Source organism: Homo sapiens, chromosome 20, assembly GCF_000001405.40.
Source record: "Homo sapiens chromosome 20, GRCh38.p14 Primary Assembly".
NCBI classification, from domain to species: Eukaryota; Metazoa; Chordata; class Mammalia; order Primates; family Hominidae; genus Homo; species Homo sapiens.
The window spans coordinates 62,101,143-62,120,902 of NC_000020.11; the positions used below are offsets into that span (position 1 = coordinate 62,101,143).

General features: G+C 53.0%; 1 long non-coding RNA gene across 4 annotated transcripts in view, besides 1 other annotated feature; it reads right to left on the bottom strand.

Moving 5' to 3' along the window:
* LOC105372706 (uncharacterized) overlaps positions 1-19,760 on the bottom strand; it is a 22,542-nt gene continuing 2,782 nt past the window's right edge. The window contains exons 2-4 of one of the 4 annotated variants that reach the window (XR_936962.2): positions 18,017-18,451; positions 6,410-6,532; positions 1-1,741 (exon numbers count right to left, since the gene is read on the bottom strand). This is a non-coding gene — a long non-coding RNA (uncharacterized LOC105372706). Of the gene's footprint in view, positions 1,742-3,929; positions 4,132-6,409; positions 6,533-18,016; positions 18,880-19,760 lie in introns of those variants that run through there. The other 3 variants (XR_007067697.1, XR_007067698.1, XR_936963.2) reach the window with 3 other exon arrangements.
* Positions 11,498-12,304: an enhancer, noted in NCBI's record as "H3K4me1 hESC enhancer chr20:60687696-60688502 (GRCh37/hg19 assembly coordinates)". NCBI's record gives its function as "activates a minimal SCP1, AML or CMV promoter by ChIP-STARR-seq in naive H9 embryonic stem cells {active_cell/tissue: H9 hESC(naive)}" and the evidence as "EXISTENCE:reporter gene assay evidence [ECO:0000049][PMID:30033119]".

Consider the following 19,760-nt stretch of genomic DNA (forward strand, 5'->3'; position numbering starts at 1 on the left):
AAGTGCTGAGATTACACATGTGAGCCACCACGCCCCGCCTGAGAAATTTATCTTTTATGGAAGTTTTCATTTGTGCTTTTTTTTTTTCATTTCCAAGAGCTCTTTCTTAATTTCTCACTGTTCCTTTTTTATTACATCCTGTTCTTAGGTCATGGATGTGCTGTTTTCTCTTCTCTCTCCAAGGGTATCAGCAATAAGGTTTTTTCTTTTTTATATTTTTTGTTCCTCAGGTTGCTACTCTTTCCCCCAAGCTCCCTTCTTTGGTGCATGGGGATGTGGGATCTGTCTTTCGTGTGGGGTCTTTTTCTTCTTCAAAGTCCAGTGACCCTTGGGGTCCACGTGTCTTCATGAGAGGCTCAAAAGTGCTGAGGTGGAGCAGTGTGGGTGTAGGGGGATGAGGGGCTGCTCCAGGGTGGACCTCAGAGGGGGAAGCAGCAAGGTCTGAATATGTGGTCAGGGTTCTTAAGAGGCCAGCGCAATTCCACAGAGCCCCCACCTCCCACCCGGGAGACACATCAGGCTGTTGGCACTCGGGGAGGGAGCAGAGTAAAGGGCTCAGGCCACCTTTCAGGATGTGGCTGTGACCTGATCTCCTGGCCCTCCTCAGTGCCTTGCTCTCTCACAGGCTGTGCCTACCCCTGGCCCCAGCCCAGAACCTCCCAGCCCTGACTCCTGAGAGCAGCACCTGGACCCCTGTCTTCTGCCTGCATCTGTAGGAAAAGCAGTCTCCTAGGGGTGGGTCTGAGCTCCCAGTCCACCCCATGCTCCACCTTCAGAGCTGCCTGGCCTTCTGGATGGAGTCCCTCTGGGGTCCTGGGGATTCCCCACCCTGTGTGCCTGGGCTCTGCCTCTCCCTGGTCTGCCCAGTTGGTACTGCCCAGCTGTCTGTCTTCCAGCTGAGCCAGAGAGGAGATGCCCACAGATAAGCAGGGTCAGCCGTGTCCTCTGTGGTCCTCCCGTGAGTCTAGGGAGGGGATGCCCCAGAGGAGCAAGGTCAGCAGTGTCCCCTCTGTGGTCCAAGATCCAGGGAGAAGCGTGTGCTCTGCACGCTGTGCTGAACCAGAAGTCACCCCCTTACATTTGACTCTGTCTTCAATGTATTTTTAGAAGGAAACTGTAACCACTGCTGCTTCGAATGTGCTGTCACCATCATAGCCACCTCCCCTACAAAGACACAAGCAGGAGCCAGAGGCTGGGAAGCCTGGCAACCTCGAGAAATGGCACCTGGGATGTCACTTGCACAAGAAAAAGAAGACAGAGTGTGCCCACCTGGCCCAAGAGCTGAAGCCCGGAAGTGGGGTTGGGTGACTGGGCCAGGAGCCTCTGCCCTCGGTCCTCCCACCTCGGGAAGAATCCGGGGCACAGTGTTATGGGGCAGTTGTAGGAGTAGCCGACAAACAAAATCAGGAGACTTCTCGTCACATTCAGACTTCCAGCTTGCTATAGGTTGGATGTTCATCCCCTCCAAATCTCCTGTTGAACTGTGGCTACCAGTGCTGGAAGTGGGCCTGGCGGGAGGTGTCTGGGTCCTGGGGACAGATCCCTCGTGGCTTGGTGCTGTCCTGCCATAGTGAGTTCTCCAAGATCTGATTGTTTAGAGGCGTGTGGCACCGCCCCGCACTCTTTCCTGTTCCTCTTCTCGCCGGGTAATGTGCCTGCTCCTGCTTCCCCTTCTGCCTGAGTGGAAGCTCCCTGAGGACCCCCGGAAGCCGAGCAGCTGGCGATGCCATGCTTGTACAGCCTGCAGAACCGTGAGCCAATTAAACTTATTTCTTTATATTACCCAGCCTCAGGTATCTCTTTATAGCAATGCAAAAAAAAAAAAAAAAAGAAACAACAACAAAAAAAACCCCACAGCCTAACACACAGCTCCTCTTAAAAACCAGCTCTGGGCCAGGCACAGCGGCTCACGCCTATAATCCCAGCACTTTGGGAGGCCAAGGCAGGTGGATCACCTGAGGTCAAGAGTTCAAGACTAGCCTGGCCAACACGGTAAAACCCTGTCTCCACTAAAAATACAAAAAATTAGCTGGGCATGGTGGTGCATGCCTGTAATCCCAGCTACTCGGGAGGCTGAGTCAGGAGAATCACTTGAACCCAGGAGGCGGTGGTTGCAGTGAGCTGAGATCGCACCACTGCACTTAGCCTGTGCGACAGAGTGAGACTCCGTCTCAAAAAAAGAAAAAACAGCTCTGGAGCCGAGTTCCCACAAAGCAGCATTGTCTGTCTGCTTAGAGCTGGGGCTTCTTGACAAGCCACTTCATTTTTCTGAGTGTCAATGTATTTATCTGTAAAATAAAAATTTACTTTTAATTTTTAAAAAATGGCCTGGGGTGACAACTGCCCCACCCCCTGGGGTAGGATCTGTGCCCCTCAAATCTGCCCGCTCCCCAGCATTAGCACCGTTCCTACTAGTGAGTCTATGACCCCTGGGCCGAGGGAGTTAGGGTGACTGTGGGGCAGCTCTAGGCCCCTTCTCCCCTCCACTGTGCAGGGGCAGCCTCGGAGCCCTTCACTCCTCAGGCCTGGGCTGGTGCCCCTCCGTGCCTGCTGTGGGAGCTGGGGACGCATGCCACCCTCACGGGGTAGGCATGCCAGCCGGGGAGCCAGAAAGAACATGAGGCAAAGATGGGTTGAGTGCAGGGTGGACCCAGGGTGGCAGGGAGGAGCTGCTTGCCATTTGAGCCGGGTGGCCTCTCCGAGAGCAGAGGAGGCTGAGGCCCAGCCACGTGGGGTCTGGAGGAAGAGTCTCCAGGCAGGGGCAGCAGATGAGAGGGCACCAAGGCAGGAGTGTCCTCAGGGGACAGCAGGGGGACCCGAGTGGCACCTCAAGGGGGAGGAACAGGGAGGTGGGCGGTTGGGCAGATCCCCAGGCCTCTCCACATTCCGGAAGGGATCCCCCCTGGCCTTGTGTGCACCAGGTGAGGGGCCAGGGCAGAGGAGGGCCAGGCAGAGGCTCCTCCTGTAACACAAGCAAGGTGGCCGCGGCGGGGGCCGTGTGGCTGCAGGTTAGGTGTCGTTGGATTCTGCATAGGTGTTGAAAGTCAAGGCATTGAGATTTCCTGGCCCCAGCTGTGAGAGAACGACGTGGGGGTCATGGAGAGCTCCAGGGCCTTTGCCTGAGCACTGGTGGTGGGGACCGATGCCACTGGGGCGGGTGGAGACAGATCTGCATCCCTGGCATCAGAACTGCAGTCCTTTGCACGCAGCCCCAGGGGGACGGGAACCTGCGGTCCGGGAGCCATGGGGGCTGCAGCTCAGGGAGAAGCCCCCACGTGGTGAGGTTGCACATGGCCAGGCCAGGACTGGGCGCTGAGCCCCAGGAGGAACCCGAGGGAGACTAGAAGTGGGGCCAGCAGAGAGAGGAAACCAGGGGATGTTGGGGAGCCCGGCAGCAGTAGGAGGGGGGACTGTGGCCGAGCTGCCCCTCCCCACCCCAGAGGACAGCTTAAGGGACTTAATCTCCAGGAAGTCATGGGTGACCTTGACCACGACAGCATCAGCTTGTGGCAGAATGGCAGTGATTGCAGGGGCAGTTCCTCTGGCGTTTGCAGAAAACAGGAGGCAAGCTTGCCGGGGATAGGGGGTTACGGGAGGGGGGTTTAGAGTGGACAAAATTGCAGGATACTTGGGGGCTACTAGGGATGGCTCTGAAGAGAGGGGAAAGCTGAAGTTCCCAGGAGAGGACTCAGCAGAAGGGAAGGGAGCCCAGGGGGGCCGGGGGAGGAGCCGTGTGGAAGGAAGGAGACAAGAGATGGGTGGAATGGGAAGAGGAGGTGGGAGGCAGGGGAGGTGGAGAAAAGGAGGGGGAGGTGGGAGGGAGCCCTTGGGAAAGGAGGAAGAGTTAGGTGTTGGGGGAGGTGGGAGTGAGGGATACACGGGAGGCAGGAGGGACTGCCTGTAAGGACTTGGACTCAGCCAGGCGCACAAACAGCAACCAAGAATGATGTTTGCACATCTCAGGCCCAACTTTTACAACCACTTTGGAACAAAACCAAAGACAGTAAACACGGTGAAGTCATCCAGTGCATGTGAAAGAAAAAAAAATATTGTGTTCTTCATCCAAACAGTGAATGTTCTTAGCATTTCTGAGAAACACAGGTCACGTGGATACTAATCAGGGAGTGCTTCCTGGAAGAGGTGGGAGTACGGGCAGAAATCAGCCAGGTAGAGGGGAGGTGGCTTTCCAGACAAGACCATGGGCTGAGCAAAGGCCCCAGATGGAGGAGGAGGAGGAGCGGACAGGCCAGTGTGGGGAGGGTCTGCGTCTGCTGGGAGCAGAGAGAAGCCCCATCACACCGGCTCCTTCCTTGGGAGGCCTTCTCACCTTCCTAGAGGGAGCAGCGCCCCCATCCTGCTCCCCCCACCTCCCTGCAGCCTGCACCTGCCTATCAAGAAGCCTTACCCCATCTCAAGCACACACTTGGGTATACGTTGGTCTCTGCCACCAGCTGCAGCTGATCTCTGCCAGCTCCGCAAGGGAGAGCCCTGTTGTGTTCAGTTCATTATTGTGTTTCCAGACCCAAGACAATGCATAAATGTATGAATGAATAATAGAAATGAATGGATGGATGGACGGACGGATGGATGGATGGGTCGATGGATAGATGGGCAGATGGATGGATGGATGGATGGACAGATGGGCAGATGGATGGATGAATGGATAGATGGGCAGATGGATGGATGGATGGATGGATGGATGGATGGATGGATGGGTAGATGGATGGATGGATGGATGGATGGATGGATGGGCGGATGGATGGATGGATGGATGTGCAGATGGATGGATGGATGGATGGGCAGATGGATGGGTGAATGAACAGATAGGTGGGTAGGTAGATAGATGGATATGTGCATGAATAGAAGGATAAGCAAATTCATGGGCAGATGAGTAGATGCGTGGGTGGATGCATGGATAGATGCGTGTGTAGCTGAATATCAGTTCAACTCTATTTTCTTAGGACTGGGTTGTTGCCTTTTACACCCCCAAAACCTTTATCCAAAGGCCTTTCTCACATTACTTTTCTCTTTCTCTTTGTTCTCAAGAAGTTCTTGCCTATAACCTTTATTTCTGGACATAATTACAAATAACCTTACATTGTTATTTAAATTCTTCATGTTTACACATTTAGCTTATAAATAATTCAAGAGGCTAATGCTGACTTTGAACTAGACTCACTACCAGAGTGATAAATCAACCATGTTTGAACCCCTGTGGACTTGGCAATGTTCTAATCATTAAGATGATGACACCGGGCATGGTGGCTCACGCCTGTAATCCCAGCACTTTGGGAGGCAGAGGAGTTCAAGACCAGCCTGGGCAACATAGTGAGACCCTGTCTGTACAAAAATAAAAATATCAGGTAGGCATGATGGTGAGCGCCTGTAATTCCAGCTACACAGGAGGTTGAGGCAGGAGAATCACTTGAACCCAGGAGGCAGAGGTTGCAGAGAGCCGACATCGCGCCATTGCACTCCAGCCTGGGTGACAAAAGTGAACCTCCGTCTCAAATAAATAAATAAATCAGCTGGGCATGGTGGTACATGTCTGTAGTCTCAGCTACTCAGAAGACTAAGGCAGGAGGATCACTTGAGCCCAGGAGGTCGATGCTGCAATGAGCTGTGACCGCACCCTTGCACTCCAGCTTGGGTTACAGAACGAGATCCTGTCTCAAAAAAAAAAAAAAAAAAAAAAGATAAAAAAGTGTTCTGCTCGAGCTCTTCTTGGGGACTGGGCCTGCCCTGGGATGCATTCTGCAGAGATGTCCCTGCCTGGTCTTCAGACATAAGGGGCCTCACTCGAACCTTTTGAAGCTCCCCATTGCCCCTTGCCCAGCCTCTCCTTGGCCCACCCATACCTGTGCCCCCACTCTCCCACCCTAACCCTCCCAGCCTTACCTCACTCTACGCCACCTACACCTCTGCCCCTCCAGCCACTCTGGTCTCCTTCTAGCTCCCCAGAGGTGCCATCTTCCCTTCTGCCACGGGACCTTTGCCATGCAGTTTCCTGTCTTTGCCTCGTTAACCTCCATGCATTCTTCAATTTGGGGCTCGCTGTCACTTCCTTGGGGCCCCTATAGGGTCAGGCCTCATGCACCCTCTCCTTGTCTTCTCTGTGCTTGCTTGGCTGCTGGTCATTACTCAGCCAGGTGAGTATCTGGTTTACCTCTCCTTCCCCCTCTCAACTGGATGCTCCATGAGGGCAACCCCAGCCTGGTTTTCCCTCATCATGTACCTCCCAGAGTGAGGGGGTATCTACAGAGCCCCAGAAAAGGGGCTCCTGGGAAGGCAGGGGGTGCCTGGCTGGACTCTACTGCCATTTGATGCCCTGAGGGGAGAGTGCATCAAGCTGCCCCATGCACCTGCCGGTCCCTACCTGCCTGGGGTCAGGGTCAAGTCAGCTTCTTACCCTAATTTGGCATCCAGGAGAGACAGCCCACTGGCTTGGGCGCAGAAGTAACCAGCACTCCAGAGAGCTCCATCTTGCGGAACGGCATCTGGGGAAGCATCTGGTTTTGCCATCTGATGAGATCTGGTAATTTAAAAGTGTGTGGCACACCAACCTTGCTCCCGTTCTCACCGTGTGATGTGTCTGCTCCCACTTCTTTTGTCACTATGACTGGAAACTTCCTGAGGCCTCCCAAGAAGCAGATGCCACTATGCTTCCTGTAAAGCCTGCAGAACCTTGAGTCAATTAAACTTCTTTCCTTATCAATGCTGCAGTCTTGGCCAGGCGCAGCAGCTCGCGCCTCTAAAGTTGATGAAGACCTAGCCTGCCATGTGCTCATAAGAGCCAGCCTCTCACCACAGGAGGCCATCAAAGTCAGGGAGACTCCTGGGAGTCCTGCTGTGGGGAGACAGGATCCTCACAGGCTTTCCTGGAAACGCTGGAGCATGCTGGGCCCTCCCCATCCCCATGGCCACACAAGGCCTTACATGTGCTGGTGTGCTGAGTTCCAGGACCCCAGTGAGAGGCCCAGCAGTAAAAGGCAATAACATAGGTGGGGAAGGAAGGGCCAGGGAGGCAGCAGTTGCCTCTACTCAGTGGGGCATCAGCCCCAACTGCCAGTCCCCAGCTGAGCAACCCAGAAAGTCACTTTTCTTCTCTGAGCCCCATCTATAAAAAGAGAGGGAGTTGGCAATTAAGCAAGAAGATACAACAAAGGCATCCATATTGAAAAGGAAGAAGTAGGCTGGGTGCAGTGCTCACGCCTGTAATCCCAGCACTTTGGGAGACCGAGGCGGGTGGATCACCTGAGGTCGGGAGTTCGAGACCAGCCTGACCAACATGGAGAAACCTTGTCTCTACTAAAAATACAAAATTAGCTGGGCATGGTGGTGCATGCCTGTACTCCCAGCTACTCAGGAGGCTGAGGCAGGAGAATCATTTGAACCTGGGAGGCAGAGGTTGCAGTGAGCCAAGATCATGCCATTGCACTCCAGCCTGGAACAAGACACCAAGAGCAAAACTCCATTTCAAAAAGAAAGAAAAGAAAAGAAAATGAAGAAGTAAAGTCATCTCTATTTGCAGATGACATGACCTTGTACATAGAAAATCCTAAGCCACTGAAAAAATATTAGAACTAGCACTTTGGGAGGCTGAGGTGGGAGGATTGCTTGAGCCCAGGAGTTCAAAACTATCCTGGGCAATGTAGCAAGACCCCAGCTCTACAAAAAAATTAAAAATTAGCCAGGCATGGTGGCACATGCCTATAGTCCCAGCTACTTGGGAGGCTGAGACAGGAGAATCACTTGAGCCTAGGAGCTTAAGGTTGCAGTGAGCTATGATCACACCACTGCACTCCAGCCTGGGTAACAGACCCTGTCCCAAAATAAACAAATAAATAATAACTATTAGAGCTAATAAATGAGTACAACAGGGCTGCAGGGTATAAGATCAATGTATGAAAATCAATTGTGTTTCTATACAGCAGTAATCAACAAACCAAAAGTGAGATGAAGAGAACAATTCCATAATACTTTGGAGTCAACTTAACAAGATAAGTGCAAAACACATATTCTGAAGACGACAATACGTTGTTGAAAGAAATTTTAAAAGACCTAAAGAAGTGGAAAGACATCCTATGTTCATGGGTTGGAAGCCGAATATTTTTAAGATGACATTGCTGCCCAAATTGGTTTTTATTTGCATTTCCCTGATGCCACTGGTATGGCAGATTCAACACAATCCCTATCAAATTCCCAATTACCTTCTTTGCAGAAATTGACAAACTATCCCTAAATTCATATGGAAAGGCAAGGAATCCAGAATAATCAAAGCAATCTTGAAAAAGAAGCACAAAATTAGAGAACTCATACTTTCCAATATCAGAACTCACTACAAAGCTACAGTAATCAGAGCAGTGTGGTGCTAGAATAAGGACAGACATATAGACCAATGGAATAGAACAGAGAGACCAGAAAGAAACTCTCACATTTATGGGCAACTGGTTTTTGCCAAGGGTACCAGGCACCTTCAATGGGAAATTTGTTGAAACAGTCTTTTCAACAAATGGTGCTGAGAAAACTGAATATCAACATGCATAAGAATGAAGTTGGATACTACCTCACACTATATACAAAACTTAACACAAAACTAATCGATAGTCCGGGTGCAGTGGCTCACGCCTGTAATCCCAGCACTTTGGGAGGCCGAGGTGGGCAGATCATGAGGTCAGGAGATCGAGACCATTCTGGCTAACACGGTGAAACCCTGCCTCTACTAAAAATACAAAAAAAAGTAGTCGGGCATGGTGGCGGGCGCCTGTAGTCCCAGCTACTCAGGAGGCTGAGGCAGGAGAATGGTGTGAACCCGGGAGGCGGAGCTTGCAGTGAGCAGAGATTGTGCCACTGCACTCCAGCCTGGGCAATAGAGTGAGACTCTGTCTCAAAAAAAAAAAAAAAAAAAAAAAGTAATTGATATAGCTTGTATATTTGCCCCTGTACAAATCTCATGTTGAATTGTAATCCTCAGCATTGGAGGTGGGCCCTGATGGGAGGTGTCTGGGTCATGGGGGTGGATCTCTTATCGCTTCGTGCTGTCTTTGCAATAGCGAGTGAGTTCTCATGAAATCTGGTAATTTAAAAGTGTGTGGCACACCAACCTTGCTCCCATTCTCACTGTGTGATGTGTCTCCTCCCACTTCTTTTGTCACTATGATTGGAAACTTCCTGAGGCCTCCCAAGAAGCAGATGCCTGTAAAGCCTACAGAACCATGAGTCAATTAAACTTCTTTCCTTATAAATGATACAGTCATGGTTAGGTGCGGTGGCTCGCGCTTGTAATCCCAGCACTTTGGGAGGCAAAGGCAGGCGGATCAGGAGGTGAGGAGTTCAAGACCAGCCTGGCAAACATAGTGAGACCCCATCTCTACTAAAGATACAAAAAATTAGCCGGACGTGGTGGCGCATGCCTGTAATCCCAGCTACTCGGGAGGCTGAGGCACGAGAATCGTTTGAACCTGGGAGGCGGAGGTTGCAGTGAGCTGAGATCACGCCATTGCACTCCAGCCTGGGTGACAGGGTGAGACTGTCTCAAAAAAAAAAAAATTATGCAGTCTCAGGTATTTCTTTTTTCTTTTTCTTTCTTTCTTTTTTTTTTTTTTTTGATACGGAGTCTCGCTCTATCGCCTAGGCTGGAGTGCAGTGGTGCAATCTCGGCTCACTGCAAGCTCCACCTCCTGGGTTCATGCCATTCTCCTGCCTCAGCCTCCCGAGCAGCTGGGACTACAGGCACCCGCCACCACGCCTGGCTAATTTTTTGTATTTTTAGTAGAGATGGGGTTTCATCGTGTTAGCCAGGATGGTCTCGATCTCCTGACCTCGTGATCCACCTGCCTTGGCCTCCCAAAGTGCTAGGATTACAGGCGTGAGCCACTGTGCCAGGCCAGTCTCAGGTATTTCTTTATAGCAATGCAAAAACAGCCTAATACAGACAATTGTTACCAAGGAGTGGGGGCATTGTTATAAAGATACCTGAAAATTTGGAAGCAACTTTGGAACTGGGTAACAGACAGAGGTTGGTAGAGTTCGGAGGCCTCAGAAGAAGACAAGAAGATGAAGGAAGCTTTGGAACCTCTTAGAAACAGGTTAAATGGTTGTGACCAAAATGTTGATAATGATAAGAACAATGAAGTCCAGGCTGCCAAAGTCTGAGATGGAAATGAGGAACTTGTTGAGAACTGGAGCAAAGGTCACCATTGTTATGCCTTAGCAAATAACTTGGCTGTATTCTGTTCATGTCCCAGGGATCCATGGTAGTTTGAACTTCATAGTGATGATTTAGAGTATCTGCTAGAAGAAGTTTCTAAGCAGCAAAGCATTCAAGAAGTGACCGGCTGAGGCTGGGCGCGGTGGCTGACGTCTGTAATCCCAGCACTTTGGGAGGCCAAGGTCAGGAGATCGAGACCATCCTGGCTAACATGGCGAAACCCCATCTCTACTAAAAGTACAAAAATTAGCCGGGCGTGGTGGCAGGTGCCTGTAGTCCCAGCTACTCGGGAGGCTGAGGCAGGAGTATGGCGTGAACCTGGGAGGCGGAGCTTGCAGTGAGCCGAGATGGCGCCACTGCACTCCAGCCTGGGTGACAGAGAGAGACTCCGTCTCAAAAGAAAAATAAATAAATAAATAAATAATAAAATAAAAAATAAAATAGATGCTGCATGCCTGTATCAAAGTATCTCATGTACCCCATGAATATATACAACTACTATGTATGCGTAAAAAAATTTTTTTAATGAAATGAGACCAGGCAGCTCATGCTTGTAATCCCAGCACTGGGGGAGGTGAGGGTGGGAGGATCCCTTGAGCCCAGGAAAACATAGTGAGACCCCACCTCTCTCTCAATAAAAAAAAAAAAAAAAAAAAAAAAGCTGGGTGTGGTGGTGCATGCTTGTACAGTCCCAGCTACTCAGAAGGCTGAGGTGGAAGAATTGCTTGAGTCTGGGAAGTTGAGGTTGCAGTGAGCTGTGGTCACGCCACTGCACTCTGCACTCCAGCCTGGGCAACAGACTGAGACTCAGGCTCAAAAGAGGGGAGGGGAGGGGAGGGGAAAGGAGGGGAGGGGAGGACTCCACCTCTCCTGGAGCTGCACCTGGGCGTGTTGGCCCCACTGCCTGCCTCTCTCCACTGCTCCCAGATCCTCTGCAGCCCCATAATAGGTGCTGCTCTGGGGCCCTGACTCCAGCTCAGCCCTGTGTGCTCTTCCCGTGAGAAGACCTACCATCATCAGTCTCAGCACCCTCCTTCGTGCCCCAAATGCAGATTCCCAGGAGAGAACTAGTTGGCCCAGCCTAGGGACTGGTTCCCCTGGCCAGGTGACCATCCCATCCAATCACTGGTGACAAAGGAGATGGCCGGGCAGCACAGCCATGGCCGCGGGAGCCCCATGTCTGATCCAGCAGGGGCATGGGGTGGATGCTGATTTCAAACACAAGGACTATGGCAGCTTCCCAAAGGGTATGCATGACTCCTCACAAAATGGCACACGAGGACATTGTTGAGGGCATGGATTATAGTGAATACCGACATCCTCTCCATGGCAGAGGCAGAAAGGTGCTGCCCAGATCCCCATCCAAGGAAGGGGGTGGAGTAAGCTGGCAGCCTCCAGATGACCATCTCAAGCCAGGTCATGTTCTTCTCCAGTGACCCGAGTCACTGCTGAGTAAGGCCGTGACTGCCTGCACTTCTGCAGGCAGCAAGATGGGTTTGTGGACAGGACCGCACTCCACCTGGTCAGTGACCAGGACTCTCCCTGGTTCAAGGGGCACAGCCAGCCTGGCCGGCCCAGCTGTTCATGCTCTCCCTGCAATAACCTGGGAGAATGAGAGGGTGCAGAGACCGTGGCCAGCCCTGTGCCACAACCCAAGCTGATTCGGGTTCTTAAAATGTGTGGCGAGGGCGAGGATAATGGAATTGGAGGATTGTTAACTAAGTCGCATTGACTTAGAGATGGATAATGACAAGCTGAGGGCAATTAACAAACAACTGAAGACTAAGTGTGAGAGCCAGCAAGCGTGTTGGCTTCCAAGAAGCCCTCAGGGCAGGCAGGCAGCAGGCAGCAGGCAGGGGTGCAGAACAAGCTCAAGTTCAAGTCCAGATTTCACAGCCACAGTGGCTGAACACAGAGATGGCTCAGCAGCCAGCGGAGTCACAGCTTAGGCTGTCAGGAGCCCTGGTTGGGAGCCCTGGGACACCCTGCTGGGGGTGCAGACTGAATGTGCAGACTGTGCTGAGGAGTTTGTAGCATTTGACCCCTCAGACGCCCCCTTCCCCATCAAGAGCCCACTGTTCCCCAGAATTCTGTAGTGTAGAATTCTCTCCCTGACAAGATAACAAGCTCCTCCTCTCTGAGAGCTGTCCTGAATCCTCTCTGGGCCACCAGACACCAAACCAGACCATAGCCCACCTGGTGACACACCGGGCTGACACTGGAGGAAAGAGGCCACACCCCCAGGGGGGCTGCAAGGCTCAGTCAGTGCATGCTGCCAAGACTGGGGGACACTTGTGGCACTGGATTCCAAGGGTGCTCAGGGTCCTTTTGGGCATCATGGCACCCCCTGGCCGGATCATTTCTTGCATGGACAAGCGCGGCCACCTCAGCCTGAGAAGGTCCAGTGGCCGGGGCTTAGGGAAGGAGTGTGAGCCTCCAGGACCTGCAGTGGCCACAGCTGAGGTGGGAGAATGCAGGAGGGAGGGAACGCATGCCAGGTGGGCCCCAGCTCAGCCACAGCAATGGGGGCTCTTCTGCCCACCTCCCTGCTCTATCTTCCCTCCTGAAAGGGGCTATAGACCCCAAAGGAGCAGCCTCTGCCCAGGCACGGGACAAAGGCCCTGGGCACAAGGGGTGGACGGTACAGAAATGTACCACTCAGATCTCCCTTCAGAAAAGGACTAGGCATGGGGGGGCTCATGTCTGTAATCCCAGTGATTTGGGAGACTGAGGAAGGAGGATAGCTTGAGCCCAGGGATTCAAGACCAGCCGAGGCAACAGAGGGAGACCTCTTCTCTACAAAAACTTGGAAAAAAAAAACCAAACAATTAACCGGGCGTGGTAGCGCATGCCTGTAGTCCCAGCTACTCAGGAGGCTGAGGCAGGAGAATTGCTTGAGCCTGGGAAGTCAAGGGTGCAGTGAGCCATCATCACACCACTGCACTCAAGCCCGGGTGACACAGCAAGCCTCTGTTTAAATTTTAAAAGAAAAAGAAAAAAAGAAAAGTGGCTCACACCTGTAATCCCAGTACTTTGGGAGGCCAAGGCAGGTGGATCACGGGGTCAGGAGTTTGAGACCAGCCTGACCAACATGGTGAAACCCCATCTCTACTAAAAATACAAAAATTACCCGGGCGTGGTGGCATGTGCCTGTAATCCCAGCTACTCAGGAGGCTGAGGCAGCAGAATCGCTTGAACCCAGGAGGTGGAGGTTGCAGTGAGCCGAGATCGAGCCACTGGACTACAGCCTGGGCAATACAGCGAGACTCCGTCTCAAAAACAAAAACAAAAAAAAGGGTAAAAGAAAGAGGCCAGGCGCGATGGCTCAAGCCTGTAATCCTGGCACTTTGGGAAGCCAAGGCAGGTGGATCACTTGAGGCCAGGAGTTCGAGACCAGCCTGGCCAACATGATGAAACCCCATATCTACTAAAGACACAAAAATTAGCCCGGTATCGTGATGCATACCTGTAGTCCCAGCTACTCGGGAGGCTGAGGCAGGAGAATGGCGGGAACCCGGGAGGCGGAGCTTGCAGTGAGCCGAGATCATGCCACTGCACTCCAGCCTGGGAGAGAGAGCGAGACTCTGTGTCAGAAAAAAGAAAGAAAGAGACTTGCTGCCCAGCTCTTTCTCCAGGGGTTACCTGCCTATTCCCCAGTTTCCTGCCTGCAGCTGCTAGAGCCTTGAGGGTTTGCCTCTGATTTTGCTGAGGTGGCGCCCGCTGGGGTGTCCGCAGCCAGTGGCTGAGTCAGACGGTAGTACCAGGACCAGCCCCTCTGCCCCGTCAGGGCTCCTGTACCAGCCACTCTTTCCTCCCAACTCGCCAAACTCCCCCTCGGCTCAGCAGGTGCTGTGTCAGGTCAGCATCTCAGCCAACAGCTCCAGCCTAATTCACTTCCCCCAGGTTTTCTCTCATGGGGGAAACTCACATTAACTTCTGCACCCTCAGTTCCAGCTCCTTGGCGTCTCCTTCCCAGAGAAACCAGCCCACAGCCCTCTCACTTGGCCTTTCTTTTTAAAGTTTTTAATTTTTTTGAGACAGGGTCTCATTCTGTCACCCAGGCTGGAGTACAGTGGTGCAATCTCGGCTCACTGCAACCTCCACCTCCCGGGCTCAAGTGATCTGCCCACCTCAGTCCTGAGCTGGGACTACAGGTGAGTGCCACCACGCCTGGCTAATTTTTGTGTGTGTTATAGAGATGAGGTTTTGCCATGTTGCCCAGGCTCATCTTGAACTCCTGGGCTTAAGTGATCTGCCCACCTCAGCTTCCCAAAGTGCTGGGATTACAGGCATGAGCCACCATGCCTGGCGCAGCCTTTATTTTTATTTATTTATGTATTAATGTATTTATTTTAGAGAGAGGCTCTTGCTCTGTCACCAAGGCTAGAGTACAGTGGCAAGATCACAGCTCACTGTAACCTTGAATTCCTGGGTTCAAGTGATCCTTCCACCTCAGCCTGCTGAATAGCTGGGACTACAGGCACATGCCACCATGCCCAGCTAATTTTATTTTTAGTAGAGACAGGGTCTCACTATGTTGCCCAGGCTGGTCTCAAACTCCTGGCCTCAAGTGATCCTCCTGCCTTGGCCTCCCAAAGCACTGAGATTATAGGCGTAAGCCACCGCACCTGACCTCACTTGGCCTTTGTTGATGACAGGCAGGAAAGTCAGACAGGGTTCATTTATTTACTCAGCAAATATCTGGGTGGGATGTGTAACACTGTGCCTAAGACTATGGGTTCTCCAGCCTGGGTTTGTATCCTGGCTCCGCTGGGACAGTGGGCATGTTCTTTAACTGCCCTGGTCCTCAGTTCCCTGGCTATAAAATGGGGACACTCATTAAACCTGTTCCAGAGTGTTGCTTTGAACACCACACACATAAACTGCTCAGCACAACGCCCAGCATGCACTCAACTATTAGGAATTTTGTCTGCTGTTATTTTCAGTTTCTTTCTTTCTTTTTTTTTTTTTTTTGAGACGGAGTCTTGCTCTTTCGCCCAGCCTGGAGCACAGTGGTGCAATCTCGGCTCACTGCAACCTCCACCTCCCAGGTTCAAGCAATTCTCCTGCCTCAGCCTCCTGAGTAGCTGGGACAACAGGCATGCGCCACCATGCCCAGCTAACTTTTTTTTTTTGTATTTTTAGTAGAGATGGGGTTTCACCATGTTGCTCAGGCTGGTCTCAAACTCCTGACCTCAAATGATCTGCCCGCCTTGGCCTCCCAAAGTGCTGGCATTACAGGCATGAGCCACGTGCCCAGCCGAAACTGTACACTTCAAATGGGTGAATATTATAGAATATAATAAATAAACAACCTTAATAAAGCTGTTAGACACATAAATGAATAAGGCACGAGTTCCGGTTCCACCCAGCACAGAAGGGCCAGACTCTGAGATTCCGCGGTGCGTGGGGAAGGCCATTTGTAAACACTCTCTGGCCCAAATGCAGCAAGGCTCCCAGGGCAAATGGGGTTTCCATGTTCCAGTGCTTGGGAAAGACTAACACGTATTCGCGTCCGTCCGCGACTGCCTGTCTAAGCGAGATGAGCCACCAGAAATGTCTCAGGCGCCATCCTCCCCATCCAGCTCCTGGTACCTGCTGGAAAAGCCTGGGGCAGCCCTGCACTGGCGCACCTTCTTCTCACCCGGCCCATGCCCTGCCCCTTCCGCCGCACACACCCCCGCGCAGCCAGTTATGGGCTTCACTGCCAGGGTCGACCTCGGTGGGCCCGTGTGGCTGCCTGCCGGCTTCTGATGCACATCATTTCTTGCCACACAGAGCCTCAATCTAGCCTGTGCTCTCAGGGTGGTGAAGGCAGCGACATAAGGAAAGGATTACGGTGTTAACAAGTCGGAACTGAACACGAATAAAAATAACCACGTGCCCTGGCAGAATGCTTTCCATCTGACGACGGGGATGTCTTGGTGCATGGACGAGGGTCCACGGGTGCGCTGCCTGGTGAGGACAGGCTTTGGGAAGCCTGGCACACCTCTCCCGACATCTGCACCGCTCCTTTATCTACATGACCTCATTCCTGGGCCGTGACCCTGCCCAGCAGGCGCTCGTGCCGCATCAGGCAGGCGTAAAGACAAGTGCCCAGCCTGGCTGGGATGAGCCCGTAGGCCTCTTCAGTAACCATGGCAACGCTCTAGGACGCACCCGGCATCCTTTGCATGGAGTCAAGAGAGGATACAATGTAATAGGAGAGACCCTTGAAGAAGAAGCTGCTTCCTTCCCTCATGCCCAGTGCCAACCTCAGGTCAGTCTCCATCTGGACATCTGCAGAGCATGAGCTCCAAGTGCAGAAATCGTGTCTGGGCTTTGTCCCTTCCCGCCGTTCACTATCCCCTCCCCCCGCCCCAACCTGAAGGCTGAGCACAGAGGACCACCAGGGAGGAGGCCCGGACGTTGAGCACCCAGGGTTAGCAGCCGGCAGACTGACACAGGAATCCCAGCCCTGTCATGTGCTGGCCGTGTGACGCTGGCTGTCACCTAGCCCAGGCTGAGAGCCTGGTTTCCTCCTCTCACAAGGTGCAGCACCACATCCGGAGGGCTGCGGAGGGGTTCGGGGAGGAAATGCGTGGCCGGCTTGGGCACCAGGTCTGGCACTGAGTGGTGGGACTGGGCTGGTGACACTCAGTAAGACAGTGGTGGATTGACTTAGAAGGGGCCTTTCATCGTTTACTTTCTATCCAAGTAGAACACAGGGCTGGGGAATGCTGCCCCCACCCCAGCCATTCCTGAGCCCCTAAAGCCCAGGAGCCCCTCACAGCCACCGGGAGAGAAAAGCTGCCAGCCTCCCGCTGACAGCCCGTCTTCTGTTCCACCAGGATCTCTCAGCATTTGATCCTGCATTCTGAGGTGGCAGCACCAGGGCTGGCCCTATCAGAATCTGACATTTCGAAAGCTGGTGTCTGGGTCTGCCCAGGTTCTCATCAGCTCCAGCCAGCTGTCCCTCCAGCTGCACCTGGAAGCGGGGCCGAGGCTGCCCGCTAGGTGCTGGAGTTTAACACACTCCTCTTTTATTTTCCAAGGAACTTCCCATCACACAGGGCTCCTCACGCCAGGAAACTCGGCTGTTGGGGTGGGAAGGGGAGAAAGGGAGGTGGAAGGGGGACAGGAGGCAGGAGGGGGAGATGGATGGGAAGAGGGAAGAGGGTCTGAGGATGCCTGAACTTCAACCCACTGGTGCTCATCCAGCCTCCCGGGAAAACAGCCCTGCAGAGCCCCATGCAGGAGGAAATGGATTTTAACTGGATTCACAGAGAGCAGGTCAGACCTCCATGAGAATTCCTGATGGTACAGGATCAACTCAGCCCTCCCTCCTCACCTTACTGTCCAGCCACCTGTGGGTCCCTGTGCCCCGAACACCCTCCCTGGGCCTCACTGTCCCATTCCCTGCCCGGAAGTCCTCCTAGCAAAGCTGGCCCTGAGCCTCCCCACACGGCACACCTGTGCCCTCCTCAGCTCCCTTCAGGCTGGTGCTGTTGCACCTGTGCGGTTGGAGGGTCTTCCTCGGGGGAGGGGGCCTGAGGCCTGCAGGGCCTCCCCAATCCCCTCTCCTGCGCCAGATCCTGAATGAGGGGACGGGGACGGTTGAGTCCTGTCTCACCAGCACGTGGCCACACTTCAGACCACTGACTTATCTGTGGACCACCCATCGTTAACGCCCTCTGAATTAACTCAGCTGTTTTGTGTGGCGCCTACTGAGCAATGACACCTGTGAGATCAATGGCTGTGCCAGTCATTCTTGCTCAGGGGAACATTAGAGTCACAGGATGGTTTTCTGTGGTGGGGCACCCTTACCTGCTGCAGGATGCTGGCCTGTGCCACCCCAGCTAGACTGGTGATGCAACGTGGAGCAGGGTCCTTACTCCATGTCTCCCCACCTGTCACTGGGGACCACGGCATGCTCCTACATACACAGAGCAAGCACGTAATGAGTGGCTTGTGGCTGCAGCAGAAACCTCTCCAGCTGTCCCTATGGCCCTCCCAGTGCCCTCAGCACACCCAGTTCCTACACGTTCCTCCAGAATAGCCCCTGGTTACTCTCAAAGCCCTTCACAGGCATGATCTTCCGGGGTCCTCAAGCACACCAGTGAGATGGACAGGCAAATGAAGAAACTGAGGCAGGCAGTCCAAGTGGCCCAGGGTTTCCCAGAAGCCCCAGCTCATTCCTCCAAATCCTTGGGCTCGCTGGTCTAAAGCCTGGTGATTACCAGGCAGGTGGGCTGTTCAGACCTGTGCACAGTAAAGAGCTGCTTATAGTGGAGGTGCTGGATACATGTGCCCCAGCCTGGAAAACAAGCCATGCCAGTGAACGTCCAGGTCGACTTAGGCCTGGCACAACTGTCGCCTTCTCAGACCTCACCCAAGTGCCCTCCACTTTGGGCAGGATACCAAGGAATGAATGGCAGGGCCTGCATTCCTGGACCTGGGCACTACGTATATTTTTAGCCTCTGCCTTCCTGGGCATTTGCAGGGTGGCTAATGTTCTCAGGGAGCCACCAGCTGCACACCCACGGGCTGGGCAGGCACTCGGAGGTCTCTGGGAACTGCACCCTCCCTGCCTTCAGTCCGGGGGCTCAGAGGCCAGCTCCTTTTCAAGGCAGAATCAGCTCCTGCTAGTGAAGCATGCACCCCACCCCCAACACAGCCAGAAGCCTGTGGCTCAGAAACTAGGAGGCATGAAGTACAGGATTTGTGACCTTGGATTTCCTTACTTGGAAAATGGGGTGGGGTGGGGGGACAGAAGGACTTTGACTCCACATGGGATCACCAGGCCAGCTCACTCAGGAGACCTGGTTGGCACCTCCTCCTGACAGGTGCACCCTGTATATCCAAGTGGGGAAGGATGTGCTGTGTTGAGAAGCTGAGAGTCTGGGTCGCGCTTCCCAGGGCCAGATGCCCCAGTCGCTGGAGACCTCTCCTCCCTGAGCTGGGCTGACTCCATGGCTTTGCTGTCTCTGTTCTCTTCCTGCATATGATGTTCCAGGAGCCAAGAAGCAATTCTAGAATGTACAGGTCAATCTTGGCAGATGAAACTGAATTTTCCCTCTTCTCTTCTGCTTCCTGTGTCCCCTTCCTTAAACTCATCACTGTTCTCTTACTGGCCATTGCCGGGCTCTGGTGGGAGCAGGTTGGCTTCACCTTTGTGAAGAGACAAGAGACAGTGTGATGCGGCCCCAAGCCTGTGGAGGATGCCACCAGGCCAGACTGCAACTTCTCTGCGTGACTCCCCCGTGCTGGGCCTCTGTTTCCCCTTCTGTCAAATGGGGAGTCACAGCGTCTACCCTGCAGGGCAGGTAAGATCTTCTTATTATAGTCAGAAACACATTCTAGGTCCTTACCAAGTCCACACTTACACAAACAGGTGAATTAAATATTTCACAAAATAATACTTACTTTCACCATGCGAGATACTATTATTTTCTTTTTTTCCTTTAGAAATAGGGTCTTGCTGCCACCCCTGCGTGCAGTAGTCCAATCACAGCTCATTGCAGCCTCCAACTCCTGGGCTCAAGTGATCCTCCCGCCTCTGCCTCCACCT